A 13,807-nucleotide genomic window follows, 5' to 3' on the forward strand; every position below is an offset into this window, starting at 1 on the left:
TTATAATAAGTAAAGTGTTTGAACTGGTAACAAAAATCTCTCAATCAAGTAAAGTCTGGGACCAGATGGCTTCACTGGTGAATTGCAACAAACATTCAAACAAGAATGAACATCAATCCTTCTTAAACTCTTCCAAAAAATTGAAGTGGAGAAACATTTCCTAACTCATTCTATGAGGTCAGAATTACTATAATACCAAAGCAGATAAGGACATCATAAGCAAAGAAAATTACAGACCAGTATCTCTTATGAATGTAGAGGCAACATTTCTCAACAAAATACAAATGAACTGAATCCAACAGTGTATTAAAAGGATTATGCACTATGCCCAAGTGGGATTTATCCCAGGAGAATGGTTTAACATAAGAAAAGTCAAGCAATATTATATGCCACATTAATAGAATAAAGGAAAAAAAGCCCTACAGGATCATCTCAATTGACACAGAAAACGCATCTGACAAAATCCAATATCTTGTCATGATAAAAACACTAAGAAAATGAGCAACATGTGGAAACTTTCTTAACGTAATAAAGGGCATTAATGAAAAACTCAGAGCTAGCATTATACTCAATAGTGAAAGACTCAAAGTTTTCCTCTTAAAATCAGGAACAAGGCAAAGATATCACCACTGCTATTTAACACTGTACTGGAATTTCTAGCCAGTGCAAATGGGCAAGAAAAATAAGTAAATGCATTCAAATTGGAAAAGAAGTAAAACTATCTCTACTCACAGATGCCATGATTCTATGTATAGAAGTTAGACCCCCTACTTCACACCACATATAAAAATGATCTCAAAATCAACTAACATTCTAAATATAATAGCTACAACCACTAAATCTTAGAATAAAAAGTAGAGGTAAATATCTATGGGCTTGCATTTTACAATGGATTCTGTGACTCCATCTCAAAAAAAAAAAAAAAAAATTTCTTCATCAAAAGAGATTATTAAGGATGTGAAAACAAAACCAAAAAAAGGAAGAAAGTATTTTTAAATTATGTATCTTATAAAAATTTAATGTCCAGAGTATACAAAGTACTCCTATAACTGAACAAAATGACAACCCAACTGAAAAATGGGCAAATGATCTGAATACACATTTCTCCAAAGAAGATATACAAATGGCCAATAAGCACATGAAAAGATACTCAACATCTTTAGTCATTAGGAAAATTCAAATTAAACCTCCAATAATATATCACTTCATACCCCACCAGTTATAATTTTTAAATAAAATTCCCATCCTATTAGAAAATAAGGGGAAAATAAGTGTTGGTGAGGTTGTGGAAAATTTGGAACTCTTGTATATTGCTGGTGGAAATATAAAATCATGTAGCTTGATGAAAATACCAAAAGCAATTGGAACAGAATCCAAAATTGACAAATGGGATGTAATTAAACTAAAGAGCTTCTGCACAGCAAAAGAAACTATCATCAGAGTGAACAGGCATCCAACAGAGTGGGAGAAAATTTTTGCAGTCTACTTACTGACAAAAGTCTAATATCCAGAATTTACAAGGAACTTAAACATATTTATGAGAAAAACTTCATCACAAAGTGGGCAAAAGAGATGAACAGACACTTCTCAAAGGAAGACATTTACACGGCCAAAAAACGTATGAAAAAGAGTTAAACATCACTGATCATCAGAGAAATGCAAATCAAAATGATAATGAGATACCATCTTACGCCAGTCAGAATGGCGATTATTAAAAAGGCAAGAAACAATAGATCCTGGTGAGGCTGTGGAGAAATACGAACATTTTTATGCTATTGGTGGGAATGTAAATTAGTTCAACCATTGTGGAAGACAGTATGGCAATTCTTCAAAGATATAAAACCAGAAATACCATTTGACCCAGGAATCCCATTGCTGGGTATATAGCCAAAGGAATATAAGTCAATCTGCTGAAAAGACACATGCACACGTATGTTTATTACAGCACTATTCACAATAGCAAAGACATGGAACTAACCCAAATTCTCAACAATGATAGACTATTTGATAAAGAAAATGTGGTACATATACACCAGGGAGTACTACACAGCCATAAAAAGGGACATGATCATGTTCTTTGCAGGGACATGGATGAAGCTGGAAGCCATCATCTTCAGCAAACTAACACAGAAGGAGAAAACCAAACACCACATGTTCTCACTCATAAGTGGGAGTTGAACAATGAGAACACATGGGCACAGAGAGGGGAACATCACACACTGGGGCCTGTTGCGGGATGGGGGAAAGGGGAGGGAATTTAGAGGACAGGTCAATAATACATCAAGCCCCCATGGCACACGTATACCTATGTAACAAACCTGCACATTCTGCACATGTATCCTGGAACTTAAAGTAAAATTTAAAAATAAAATTTAAAGTAAAAATAAAATTTTGATTAAAAAAGTTAAAAAATAAAATCACGCAGCTGCTGTGGAAAACAGTTTGTTGGTTCCTCAAAAATTTAAACACAGAATTACATGTAATCCAGCAATTCCTCTCCTAGGTTTATAGGTAAAAGAATTGAAAACAGGGACTCAAACAGACACTTGTATGTCAGTGTTCACTGCAGCCTTATTCAAAATACACAAAAGATGGAATGAAGCCAAATGTCTACCCATGTATGAATGGATAAAGAAAACTTGGTATATGTATCCAGTGGGATATTATTCATCCATAAGAAAGGAATGAAGTTCTGATACGTACTACAGTGTGGATAAGCCCTAAAAACTATGCTATGTGAAGGAACCATGCACAAAAGGACAACTATTCTTTAATTCCACTTATATGAAATATCAAAAATAGGCAAATTTATTGAGACAGAAAGTAAATTAATGGTTAACAGGGGATGGTGGCGGGAGTCATGGGAGTTATTGCTTAATGGTTACAGAGTTTTTGTTGAGGCAATAGAAAAGTTTGATTAATAGTGGTGATGGTTGCATAACACTGTGAATGTATTTAATGCCACTGAATTGTGCACTTAAAATGTTTATAATGGAAAATTTTAAAAAAACAAAACAAAACAGGTAGCTTGGTCCTATTTCCAAAGTCTGATTCAGTGGACCTAGGTTGGGACCCAAATCTTTTCATTTCTAACAAGCTGCCAGGTGATGGTGATGCTGCTGGTTCTGAGACATGCTTTAGACAGAAACATAACAAGAACTCCAGGGCCGGGAAGAAGAATCTTGGTTTCAAGGGATGGAGATCTGAGTTTGAATCCTGAACATACCTCTTTATTATAGCTGTTGAACTTGTGTTGCTTTGCTTTTTGAAGCCAATGAAGTTACTCTCTTGCTTAAATTCTTTTAGTGACTCTCTATTGCATGTCAAACCAGCGTAAGATCTGGTCCTTGCTGTCCTCTGCAACCTTCTCTCATGCCATTTTCTCTTCTGCCCACCATGCCTCAGCCACACTACTCTTTTTACAGTTCCTTGAACATAACAGGGCCTTTTCACCTGCTTGTGCCCAGGACAGTTTTCATTCGGTTGTTTGAAATGTTGTCTTCTTTATTTTTCTAAATTAATTATAATTTGTATTTTAAGTGCTAGGGTACATGTGCAGGATATTTTCCTGGAGCACCCTCTCTTTGCAGGTCCGTCACCATTACTGCATATATCGGTTAGCTATTGCTGCACAACAAACCCCCAAAACTCAGGGGCTTATGTCAGTAAGCTCACAGGTCTGCTCAAAAATTGTGTTGATAAGGATCGGTCTTGGTTGATCCCCTCTAGATTTACTCATATGCCTGTAGCTGGCTGGTGGAGTTGGCCAAAGGCTGACTTAACTGGGATAGTCTCAGTGCCATGGTGATTAACTCCTGGCTGGGGCAATGTTGACGACTGGACCATGTGTCTTTCATTATCTAACAGGCCAGCCTGGGCTTGTTCCCGTGGTGCTCGGCAATGTTTCAAGGTAGAGTAGATGTTCACAAGACCCTTGAGGCCTAGGCTGGGAACTGGCACACCATCACTTCCACAGTGCTTTACTGATCAAAGCAAGTCACAAGACTAGCCCCAGACTTAAGGGATGGGGAAACAGACTCCCCCTCTTGAAGTGAGGGTGTACAAAGTCACTGTTCAAAATGTGTGAGTACAAATGGGGAATCAATTTGCAATCATTCTATCACATACTTTCCAACTGAAACATCTCCATTTCCGGCCCCGCACTCACCACAGTTTGAGAGTGTAGGCAGGGCTGGCTTCATGGGCCATCAACCTGAGCAGTCCCAGGGGGGCCGTGCTTAGAAAGGTCCTGTGATTAGATTACTGCCCTGCTGTTGCCCTCTTCAATTGTTTAGTAAATTTTGAACAAGGGACTCTGCAAATTATGTAGCAGGTTCTAAGTATAGTTTATGTGGGTGTTTATTTGTTCATCATTGGTCTTTCTAGATTGTAGGCTTCACCAGGGTCAGAACTAGCTCTCATTCAGCAAGTGCTTAGAAGTACCAGGTACATAACTGGCAGACAATATACTGTTAATGAATGAATGTACCAGTTATGAATTTATCTTCTTATTTGTAAAGTTCCAGAGATGTCTTTCCTGAAGGAAATGCAGATTATATAAGAATATGTATTAAAAGCAACTTGCACATAGTACATTTGTAACACATGTCTCCATCCCTTTTTAGTATTTAAGCACATAAAAATGCATTTCTTGGCATTTAATGCTCCCTGTATGTTTAACTGTATACTGTAGAAATGAAGGCACTCTTCCTGTCTTTTAGGAATTTCTGTTTTAGTTATGAGGATATGATTAAGAGAGAGAGAACAGTTCTTCCTATTATCTATTCCAGCTTGATGAGTGTATGATTCTCTGTAGATATAAAGAACTTTGTGCTTGAGCTCAAATACCTGGTACAGACAGATAACACAAAGAACATTCAGAGACTTGGACAATCATTTTGCTGCAGAGGTGGGTTATGGGAATGTAGAGGACAGAACCAACAGTTATTGAATACTTCCTATGTTACAGACTTTGGCCCTGCATATAGTATCTCAGTTAATTACATTTCACCTTCAGAGAAATCCTACTAAGTTAGTGATTTTTATCCCCATTGTGTAGGTCAGGCAATTGGACTCAGATTAAGTAAGTTGCCAACCTTATATAGCCCAGAAGTGATGGAAATGGGATTTAGACCCAGGTCTTTATGATTTCAAAGTCTTTGCTCCTTCATTCAACAAATATTTATTAAGGGCTTACCCTGTGTTTCCACAGTTACCACTGTGTTGATTAAGGAGACATGATATTTACATGTGGTACACCAAGTACCATCAGGAGACAGAATTTGTCTTTTTCTGGGTTTCCAGCTTCAAAGAATAGGTGATCCCAGTGGAAACATCAAAAGGTGATGGCAATTTCACCCAGTCCATCTTCCTAGAGAGCAAGGCGGTTCTTCTTGCTTCCTAATAGGAGTGGCCTCATGGAATGGCTCATTACAAAGATACTTTCCATGGGGCAGCTTTCAAAACTCATCTTCTCCTTAGAATCCTGGATGCCAGGCAGTGCTTCTGGCCATCCTTTTATGAGAAGAAATGGCTGGGGTAGGGGAAATATGTCAGTGTCTCATTACAGAAATTACCTCTTGATCAATTCAACACTACAAAAATCTCCCTGAAAAAGAGGCAGCCACTTCTCAGGTGAGAGTCAGCATAGCTCCAGGCTTTTAATATTTATCTTGTACATGCTGCCTCATGGATTCAACAACCACATCTGCTGAATTGCTCCAGAACTAAAAATGCTTGTGATGTGCTTTCAGGTTAAAATAACATTATTCTCTATTTTAAATATTATTATGTTGCCTTTATAGGCAAAGTAAAAGCAAAAGCTCCTCACTTGTCAAACCTAATTTCTGGACCCTGGTGGATCCTTGTGGATAGTGCAAAAAAAAGTGCTGCTGATTAAATAGCAGAGGATGGAATCACTTGCTTGGTGCCTGGTACATAAGCCTCTAGCATTAGGTAATTCCTGTCTGAGACACAGAACACAAGCTGGGAATTTTTTCACTTCAAAACAGCATCCATTTGAGAAAAGCTGGCCAGTAGTGATAGGCTTATCTGAATCTTCTGATTGTCATAGATTTTCATTATCAGGATGGTTGATTACCCACTCAATTTCCCTTTGATGCATTCTGAGCTGATTATGCTGTTACAATTTCAGAGGGTGAAAAATAAAAAAATGAGCCGAGGTGAACCAAAATAAGTTATAAGGATGCTTCAGGGGTTGAGTGTTCTGACAGTTTCTAAATAGTTGAGGCCTCAGGGAGACTTCATTCCAAAGCCTTTCACAGAGGCCAAGGCTCTCCTGTCTTTGTTTCTCTGTCTCTGTGTCTGTCTGGTGAACTTGGGTCTGAAACCTTTCCCTTACCTGGACATCACTGTCTCCTCTAACAGCTGAGGTGTCACTGGGAAGTGAAATTGATTACAACTTTTTAAAAATTCCACAGCTGTCGTTTTTACCTCAGCTGCTTCCCATAATTCCACAGATGGTAAACATATGTTTATAGGCACATTGAAAAAGAAGCTATATTGGATGCCTCCCATCTTTAATTCTTATTTTTCCTTTCATGCAGAAAGTCAAAGTCACAGAACTGGGGAATCTTACACATTTGAAGATTAATATTTCTGTGCATTAAGACTTTGGAAACAGCAGGACAGCTAATGATATGCTAATGAGCTGACAGTTTTTATTGATCATAATGAAAGTCGACAAGTGTCTTTCTTGGCGGTTTTGCATGCTGGAATATTTTATTAACGTCTTCAGGGCAGAAGTACATGATTGGTTGCATTTTGAAAACCCTCCCTGTGAGTTTACAGGTCCTACTTTTTGTTAGCCTGTTTCCAAAGCTTGAGTCCCTGCCAGTTTATAAACAGAACACATCTTCATCCATATATTTACATGCCCAGCAGGAAACTCTCCCACCCCTTTTTCCTCTCTCTTTCAAAGCAATTTGTTTCAGTATTTTAGCATACAAAAAAATAGAACCATTTTCTTCAATGTAAACAGAGATCTGCAGGGAAATAAGAGCGTTAAAAAAGAATTAGCATTTGTTTGGTGGTGAAGCTGCTTTTGTTTGTATCAGAAAGCTCTGCATGTTTAGAAGAGCTTGCTTAATCTTAGTTATTCCATACACAAGAGGGACCTAATTGGATAATTTTCTAATTTTTTAATTGCATCTTTCTATATTTCTTAATGCAAAATGAGAAACGTTCTAGGAATAATAGAAATAATGGGCATTAGTTCCCTAAACATTAAAAATCCATAATATACAATGTACCTGGTGCAAATTTATTTTTCAGTGCATGGTGAGCTGACAGCAGGAGGTACAGGGTGGCAACAGGTGGATTAAACAAAAGGAAAAAAAATCCATTTTTCTGCCGTCCATCCGTACTAAATAGTAAGCTTATTAATTTTGGGCTCTGCACCTTAGGGATTTATTTAAGGCCTCAGATCAGCTGAGGTTCATCATTACACTAACAATAAGAAAATGGATTGTTTAGCAAATTAATAGTGTAAATAAGATTACGGGGGGCGGGGGGATGGGGGGAAGAATATTAGGCTACCTAAAAAGACTTCTGTTTTCTAGCACTGAAAAACTGTCTTAGCAAATTATTATTATCTAATACAAATAGTTTTGCATGTTTGATTGGTATCTATCTATTAAGGCAATCAAGATAAAATCTCATTTTGATAACAAGACCTCTTTGTAGCAACATGTTGTTGGTTCATGTTAAGGGGATCCCTTAAATTATATATTTTTACCTACAGCATATTGTAGTGACCCAGCACTGGTTTTGGAGTGTTAATCGAAAAGTGTCTGGATCTGTCTCTAGCTAATGATAAACAAGTCTCAATCAATTTAGAAAAGTTTATTTTGCCAAGGTTAAGGATGCACCCATGACACAACTTCAGGAGGTCCTGAGGACATGTGCCCAAGGTGGTCCTCATGTATACCTTGCTTTATACATCTTAGGGAGACATAATACCTCCATCAGTACATGTAAGATTTACATTGGTTTGATCTGGAAGGGTAGGACAACCAGAAGGGTGGCAGCTTCCAGGTCATAGGTAGATTTAAAATTTTTCTGATCGGCTATTGGTTGAAAGCGTTATCAGTAGTAAAGAATGTCTGGGTTCTGATAAGGGGTTGTGGAGAAGAAGCTTTTATCATGCAGATGAAGCCTCTAAATAGCAGGCTTCAGGGAGAATATATTGTAAATGTGTATCATTAGACTTAAGGTCTGTGTTGATGTAAATGCTGGAGAGGTTTAATGAAGCATGTTCAACTCCTTTTCCATCATGGTCTGAACTAGATTTCCGGGTTAACTCTGGAATGCCCTTGGCGGAGAGAAGGGGGTTCATTCAGATGGTTGGGGGCTTAGAACTTTATTTTTGGTTTTCAAGAGTTAGTAGCCCTGTAGTATATAGCCTAGGATTAAGGTATCCTTTAGAAAAGCTACTTAGAGTATCAAAGCCTTAAATTTCTCATAGGTCATATGACCAGGTAATCTGGTCCTAGATAAGTAGTTCTTATGGAAAGTATCAAAATGACCTCAGACAGTTTTCAAAATAGTCATGACTGTTCTTTCAACCTCTTCCAAAATTCTGATATATACCCTAAATTAAAAACTATTGCCCCACATGATCTTCACAGATCCTAACTGTGCTCAAAATTATGTGGTTCAGTATTGTATAATTCATAGTTTTCAATAATTTGATGCTTTAGAATATTTATTGTGTTTACTATGTGAAATCTACTACAATAGGAACTTCAGGGGATACTAAGATGAAAATCTATTATCTTTGGTGTTTATAATACAGTCTAGTAATTCTGTTGGGTTTTATTCAGTTCCAAATCAGTAAGATTTTACTCTATTTATATATGAGTTGGATGCAATAATTTTAACCATTGTGAACTTTTAATGAGTAAATGCTCTTGCTCCAAAAGAAGCAAATGGTTGACAATAAAGCAGAATTTTTCAAAGTGAGGTCCTTTTACCATTCATCAGAATCATCTGGAAGAGGTTTTGTTTAAAAAATGAATATTCCTGGGCCCACTCCAATCCTACTGAAACAGGATCCTTTGGGTTGACACAAGAATCTGAATGTTAAGCAGATACTCAAGGTGATTCTCAGGAACTTGAAGTTTGAGAAACACTGCCAAAATGAATAATATGAAATAAAGCATATGTCTGAAAAAAGGAGATCAAATGAGGTCAGCTAATACAGGCCCAGATAGAGTTGCATTTTTCAGTTAAATGTAGATACATTTAGAGTTAAATGAGGAGAAATAATAAAAATTTTGTCTTTTTATCCCTTATCTCCTTTGGGAGAAGTTGTAGTGCTGAAAGGCACATTTTCATCTGTGGAAATCCTCATAGATGATATATATATATATATATTTTTTTTTTTTTTTTTTGAGAGGAATAAGGCTGATTGAGCTCCTTTGTAGTTTTATGCATTATAAAATCCCTTTTGTAGTTTTATGAAGGAAACTACATGCTTAGCAAATGCTTCTTTTATCAGCAAATGTCCTGGCAGTAAATTGTCCATATAGCAATTTAATGCCAGACCTTCTGATTCTTATTCTGGGGAAGGTGCTGGGATATACATAAATGTGTGTAGTCACATGCATACACACACATGCACTCAGACATCTTTAGATTATAAGTGGTATCTGTAGGGTATCACCACTTTTCTTTTAATCCAGCATTGACTTACAACCATTCAAATAAATTAACATTCCCATCTTGATTCATTTGGTAAGAACACATTTTCATGCCAGTATGTGGGCTCACCTCTATGACCTTTCCTTATAAAAAATACCAAGTGCTTTGGGTTTTTGTGTTAATGAGCATTGGGAAGCTGTCAGCTTTTATTTCTGTTTTTTGTTCAAGTCAACATCATTGACCTTCACCTAATGATCTATGTAACATACACACGCAGGTACCACAGATTAAAAGTGGAAAGACAGGGAAGTAAGGAGAGATGCCCATAGAGGAAAGGTGTGAGAGCAGGTGATTTGTAAATCATAATGTCACTAAAATGAGTAAGATCACTTGAAAAGGAAAAGGAAAACTGCTGTGTGCTGTATTTTCTTGCTTTAGGATTAGCGGGATGGGGTATTATTTTAAAATGAGTTTTCAGTTTGGTTTTGGAAAGGTATTTAACACCATGACACATGTGCTCCAGGATTCTGGGTACCCTTTTCCATGGATGATAAAAATAAAAATAATCTAGGGTCTTCTGATGAACAGGTATGGATCCTATCCTTTTCTGTACATATACTTCCACCAATTCTGCATCGCCTGGGGTAACCAGCTGTCCTGGTTTGCCTAGGAGCCTCTGTTTTAGCGCTGAATTTTTCCATGTTCCAGGAAATCCATAAGATGGAAATCTATAGTTTTGTCTGTTTACATTCTTTTATTATTATTATTATTATTTGAAAAGTAATGAAAGCATAGATGTCTAAAATGTGACAATTTCAGTTTGGAGGCCTGTTTCATTGACCTAGAACATGAGTGCTGGGTGGATCTTTAGGTTTTTCATCTAGCACTTCTTTTCCAGATGAAGCAACTGGGGCTCATAGAAGGTGGCTAACTTATTGCCTAAGTCTGTGCAGTTAGCTGGAGACAGATCCAGAACTTGAAACCAGGTTCCCTGACTTCTAATCCATGCTTGTCTCAAATTGCCACATGTGCTTGAAGGTGTGATAGCCTCTCAAAGAGTTAATTTGCTTTGAAAGACTGAGTAATCTCATCCCAGAGAGAAGTTAATTCATTTAGATTGTGCTCCATTAATTGCTCCCTGGTATTCCTCTGCAAGAGATTATGAATTAATATTGAGGAGCAGTGGCAGAAACTTCTTCCCCATGGGGAGGCTGTCTTCTCTCATAATCGCAAACACTGCATCATCCTTGAAGAGGAAGAGGTTAATAAACATATAATTCTGTGGAAGAGGTGCTGTGATCCTGTTATTTCTATTAATATTTCCAATTAATATTTTTTTCTTGAAATAATAAGCCAAAAACTGCATTTGCTGATTGCCTTCTGCTGTTTAGAAGATAAGCACATATATGTTAAATGTTACTCCCTCTGAAAGACTTGCAGCACTCTCTTAAGTCTATATTTTATTTATAGAATAAGCTCAGTATTCTGAACCAGCTTCTACATCTTCCATCTGTTCTGTAATATCTCTGCCATCAAATCAGAAAAAACCCTAACAACAGAATCTTGAAATTCAACTTGAAAAATTCAAAAGTCAAGTCAATATTTTCATTGAGAGATGACAGCCCTGATGACTTTCTTAAATTTGAGCTATTCTTCCAGACTGAATTACAGAATTAAAAGACCACCTTTTACTCTTAAGACTCATCAACAAAGACTCATGTTACTCAATTAGTTGAAGAGCAAGGATTGTTATGGAATTTTCCCAATGTCTAATTTTATTTCCTTCGCTAAATGAATCAGTAGAAAAATTTTAGCGTAATATGTTTCTATTATATTTCTTCCCACTTTAAAAAAATCCTGTAAATCAGCAATATTTAATATTCCAGGATGATTAGGGCATTAAGGAGAATTTTTATTGAATCAGTGCTTTTTACTGATGTGTCTTTGGTGTTATAATCTATAATTGGCATTAACTAGTGGTAACTAATTGGAGCTTTCTCCACATAAATGTACAATTTGAGATTCCTAAAGTAGGATGCTTTAGAGTAGTTCAGTATATACTAAGGCCAGCTCACCCTTTGAATGAATCAATTTTGTTGAAAAATAATCTGACCTGCCAAGAGTATGTGATTGCATAGGGGACATTTGAGCTGGTGACTGTAATCTTGATTGCCACCTGTCTCTTCTATTATCAAGGGGATCATCCAAGATGGGAAGATCATCTTTATGCCGAATGGATATATAACACAGTGTCCAAATCTAAATCACAGTAAGTAGCAACTTAAAGCATTGTGATATATTATATAACTTGTTGATTGTATCAGAGAAACACATCTGGAAAGATAGACCCAAATTGTTTACAGTGTTGACTTCTGAGGTGCTGGAGATAGTGAAAGAGAACTTATTATCTACATTATATAATTCTGTGTCTTTAAAAAAATATGTATCATTTATTGTATTAATCCGTTTTCTCACTGCTGATAAAGACATACCCTAGACTGGGTAATTTATAAAGGAAAGAGGTTTAATTGACTCACAGTTCCACATGGATGGGGAGGCCTCGCAATCATAGTGGAAGGCAAAACAGGAGCAAAGTCACATCTTACATGGTGGCAGCCAAAGAGAATGAGAGCCAAGTGAAAGGTGAAACCCCTTATAAAACCATCAGATCTTGTGAGACTTATTCACTACCATAAGAATAGTATGGGAGTAACTGCCTTCATGATTCAATTATTTCCAACTGGGTCCCTCCCACATGTGGGAATTATGGGAGCTACAATTCAAGATGAGATTTGAGTGGGGATGCAGCCAACCCATATCATTTATTGAACTAAAATTTGAAAAGAAGAGGGTTACATTAGCAGATTCTATAGGTGGATATAGAAAGATATGTTTAATATATATTTTTAAAAACTATTCCTTAAGATTCTTGACCTGGATGAGAGTTTACTTTTTCTTCTTCTATGATACTTCACATTTTTTAAGTTACCTCCCTATAAAAATGAGAGTTTAATTTTAACTTTAAAATGTCATGTTGCCTTTCTTTTTAGTTAACAATGCCTTTTTCCTGTTCCTTTCTTTTTGCTTATTAAAGTAGGAAAAGATCCAGACCTGAAATCCTCTGTGATTTCACTCAAATTTCAAAGCAATGTCAACCAAAAAAACCCCAAAAACTCTTCTACATAGTCACGTATCTACTGTTTTAAAATTTTATTTCTTATATTAGCACAATATAAATATATATGTTTTATATTTTCTTTATTGAGCTTGCCCAACCTGCAGTGATTTCTTAAGCCTGGTGCAAGGAATAATGGATTTACAAGAGCTTTTGGCCAAGATGACTGCAAAAGTAGGTATCTAAATTTCATTTGTGATGTTTCATTTCTTTTTCTGTCCTATCTGGAATTTGGAGTGATATGTTATAATGGAAACATTTTTAGCCTCGGCATCTGCTATATGTTACTACAAAAATGTTTTATTCTTACTCAAAATAGGACTACCAATAGTAAACATAACCATTCCTGTCTTTGATGCTATTAAGCTGTATCATAATGTTTACTTGAAAAATGCTTGGAAGCAAGAGGCAATATGTATCACTGTAGATTCCATGGGAGTGGAAAAGGAATTTTCCTATTGGCTATTAAAGTAGTAACACTGTAAGATGATCTATGGTCAGAGCCACTGCTCTTATAAGCTAATGCATTTTGGATGTAAGAATAATTGCCAGTAATCGGAAGGGGCAAAATAGCTATTGTTAGGAACAGATTACTGTCAAAAGAAGGCATTATATTACATTTTTAATGTATAATTTATTTCAAGGCTGGTCCTGAGTTAAATAGCAAAGGAGGCAAAGTTTGCCTTTCAACACCTTCGGTTTTATAATTCCGCACCTTTTCCTCCTCTCCATTCCATCATCCACTTAACAAGCATCTTTTGAGGACCTGCCGTTTGCTGGGCACTGTGTTAGGCACAAAGAGGCAATAGTGAAAAAGACACGCTTTCTACCCTAGATATGTTCATACTGAGTGGCGGAGCCAAATGTGTAAACAACTAAGGGCTTTAATATATATTCATAAAGTGTATATTCATAATGAAAAGCCCTGAGCCTTGTTGAAAAAGACACTGAAAATATAGAAAATATGGC

At 36.6% G+C, this 13,807-nt stretch overlaps 1 protein-coding gene and 1 long non-coding RNA gene across 5 annotated transcripts in view; one reads left to right on the forward strand and one right to left on the reverse strand.

Annotated features, from left to right (window-relative positions):
* The window catches only part of NELL1 (neural EGFL like 1), a 906,136-nt gene that overhangs the window by 236,772 nt on the left and 655,557 nt on the right, over nucleotides 1-13,807 (forward strand). For all 4 annotated transcript variants that reach the window (NM_001288713.1, NM_201551.2, NM_001288714.1 and 1 more), the window contains 2 exons: nucleotides 11,860-11,932; nucleotides 12,930-13,012. In NM_001288713.1, coding sequence (NP_001275642.1) covers nucleotides 11,860-11,932; nucleotides 12,930-13,012 — 156 coding nt within the window. The remainder of the gene's footprint in view (nucleotides 1-11,859; nucleotides 11,933-12,929; nucleotides 13,013-13,807) is intronic.
* The window catches only part of LOC105376585 (uncharacterized), a 46,166-nt gene that overhangs the window by 25,692 nt on the left and 6,667 nt on the right, over nucleotides 1-13,807 (reverse strand). The window lies entirely within an intron of this gene.

This window comes from Homo sapiens, chromosome 11, assembly GCF_000001405.40.
Source record: "Homo sapiens chromosome 11, GRCh38.p14 Primary Assembly".
NCBI lineage: Eukaryota > Metazoa > Chordata > Mammalia > Primates > Hominidae > Homo > Homo sapiens.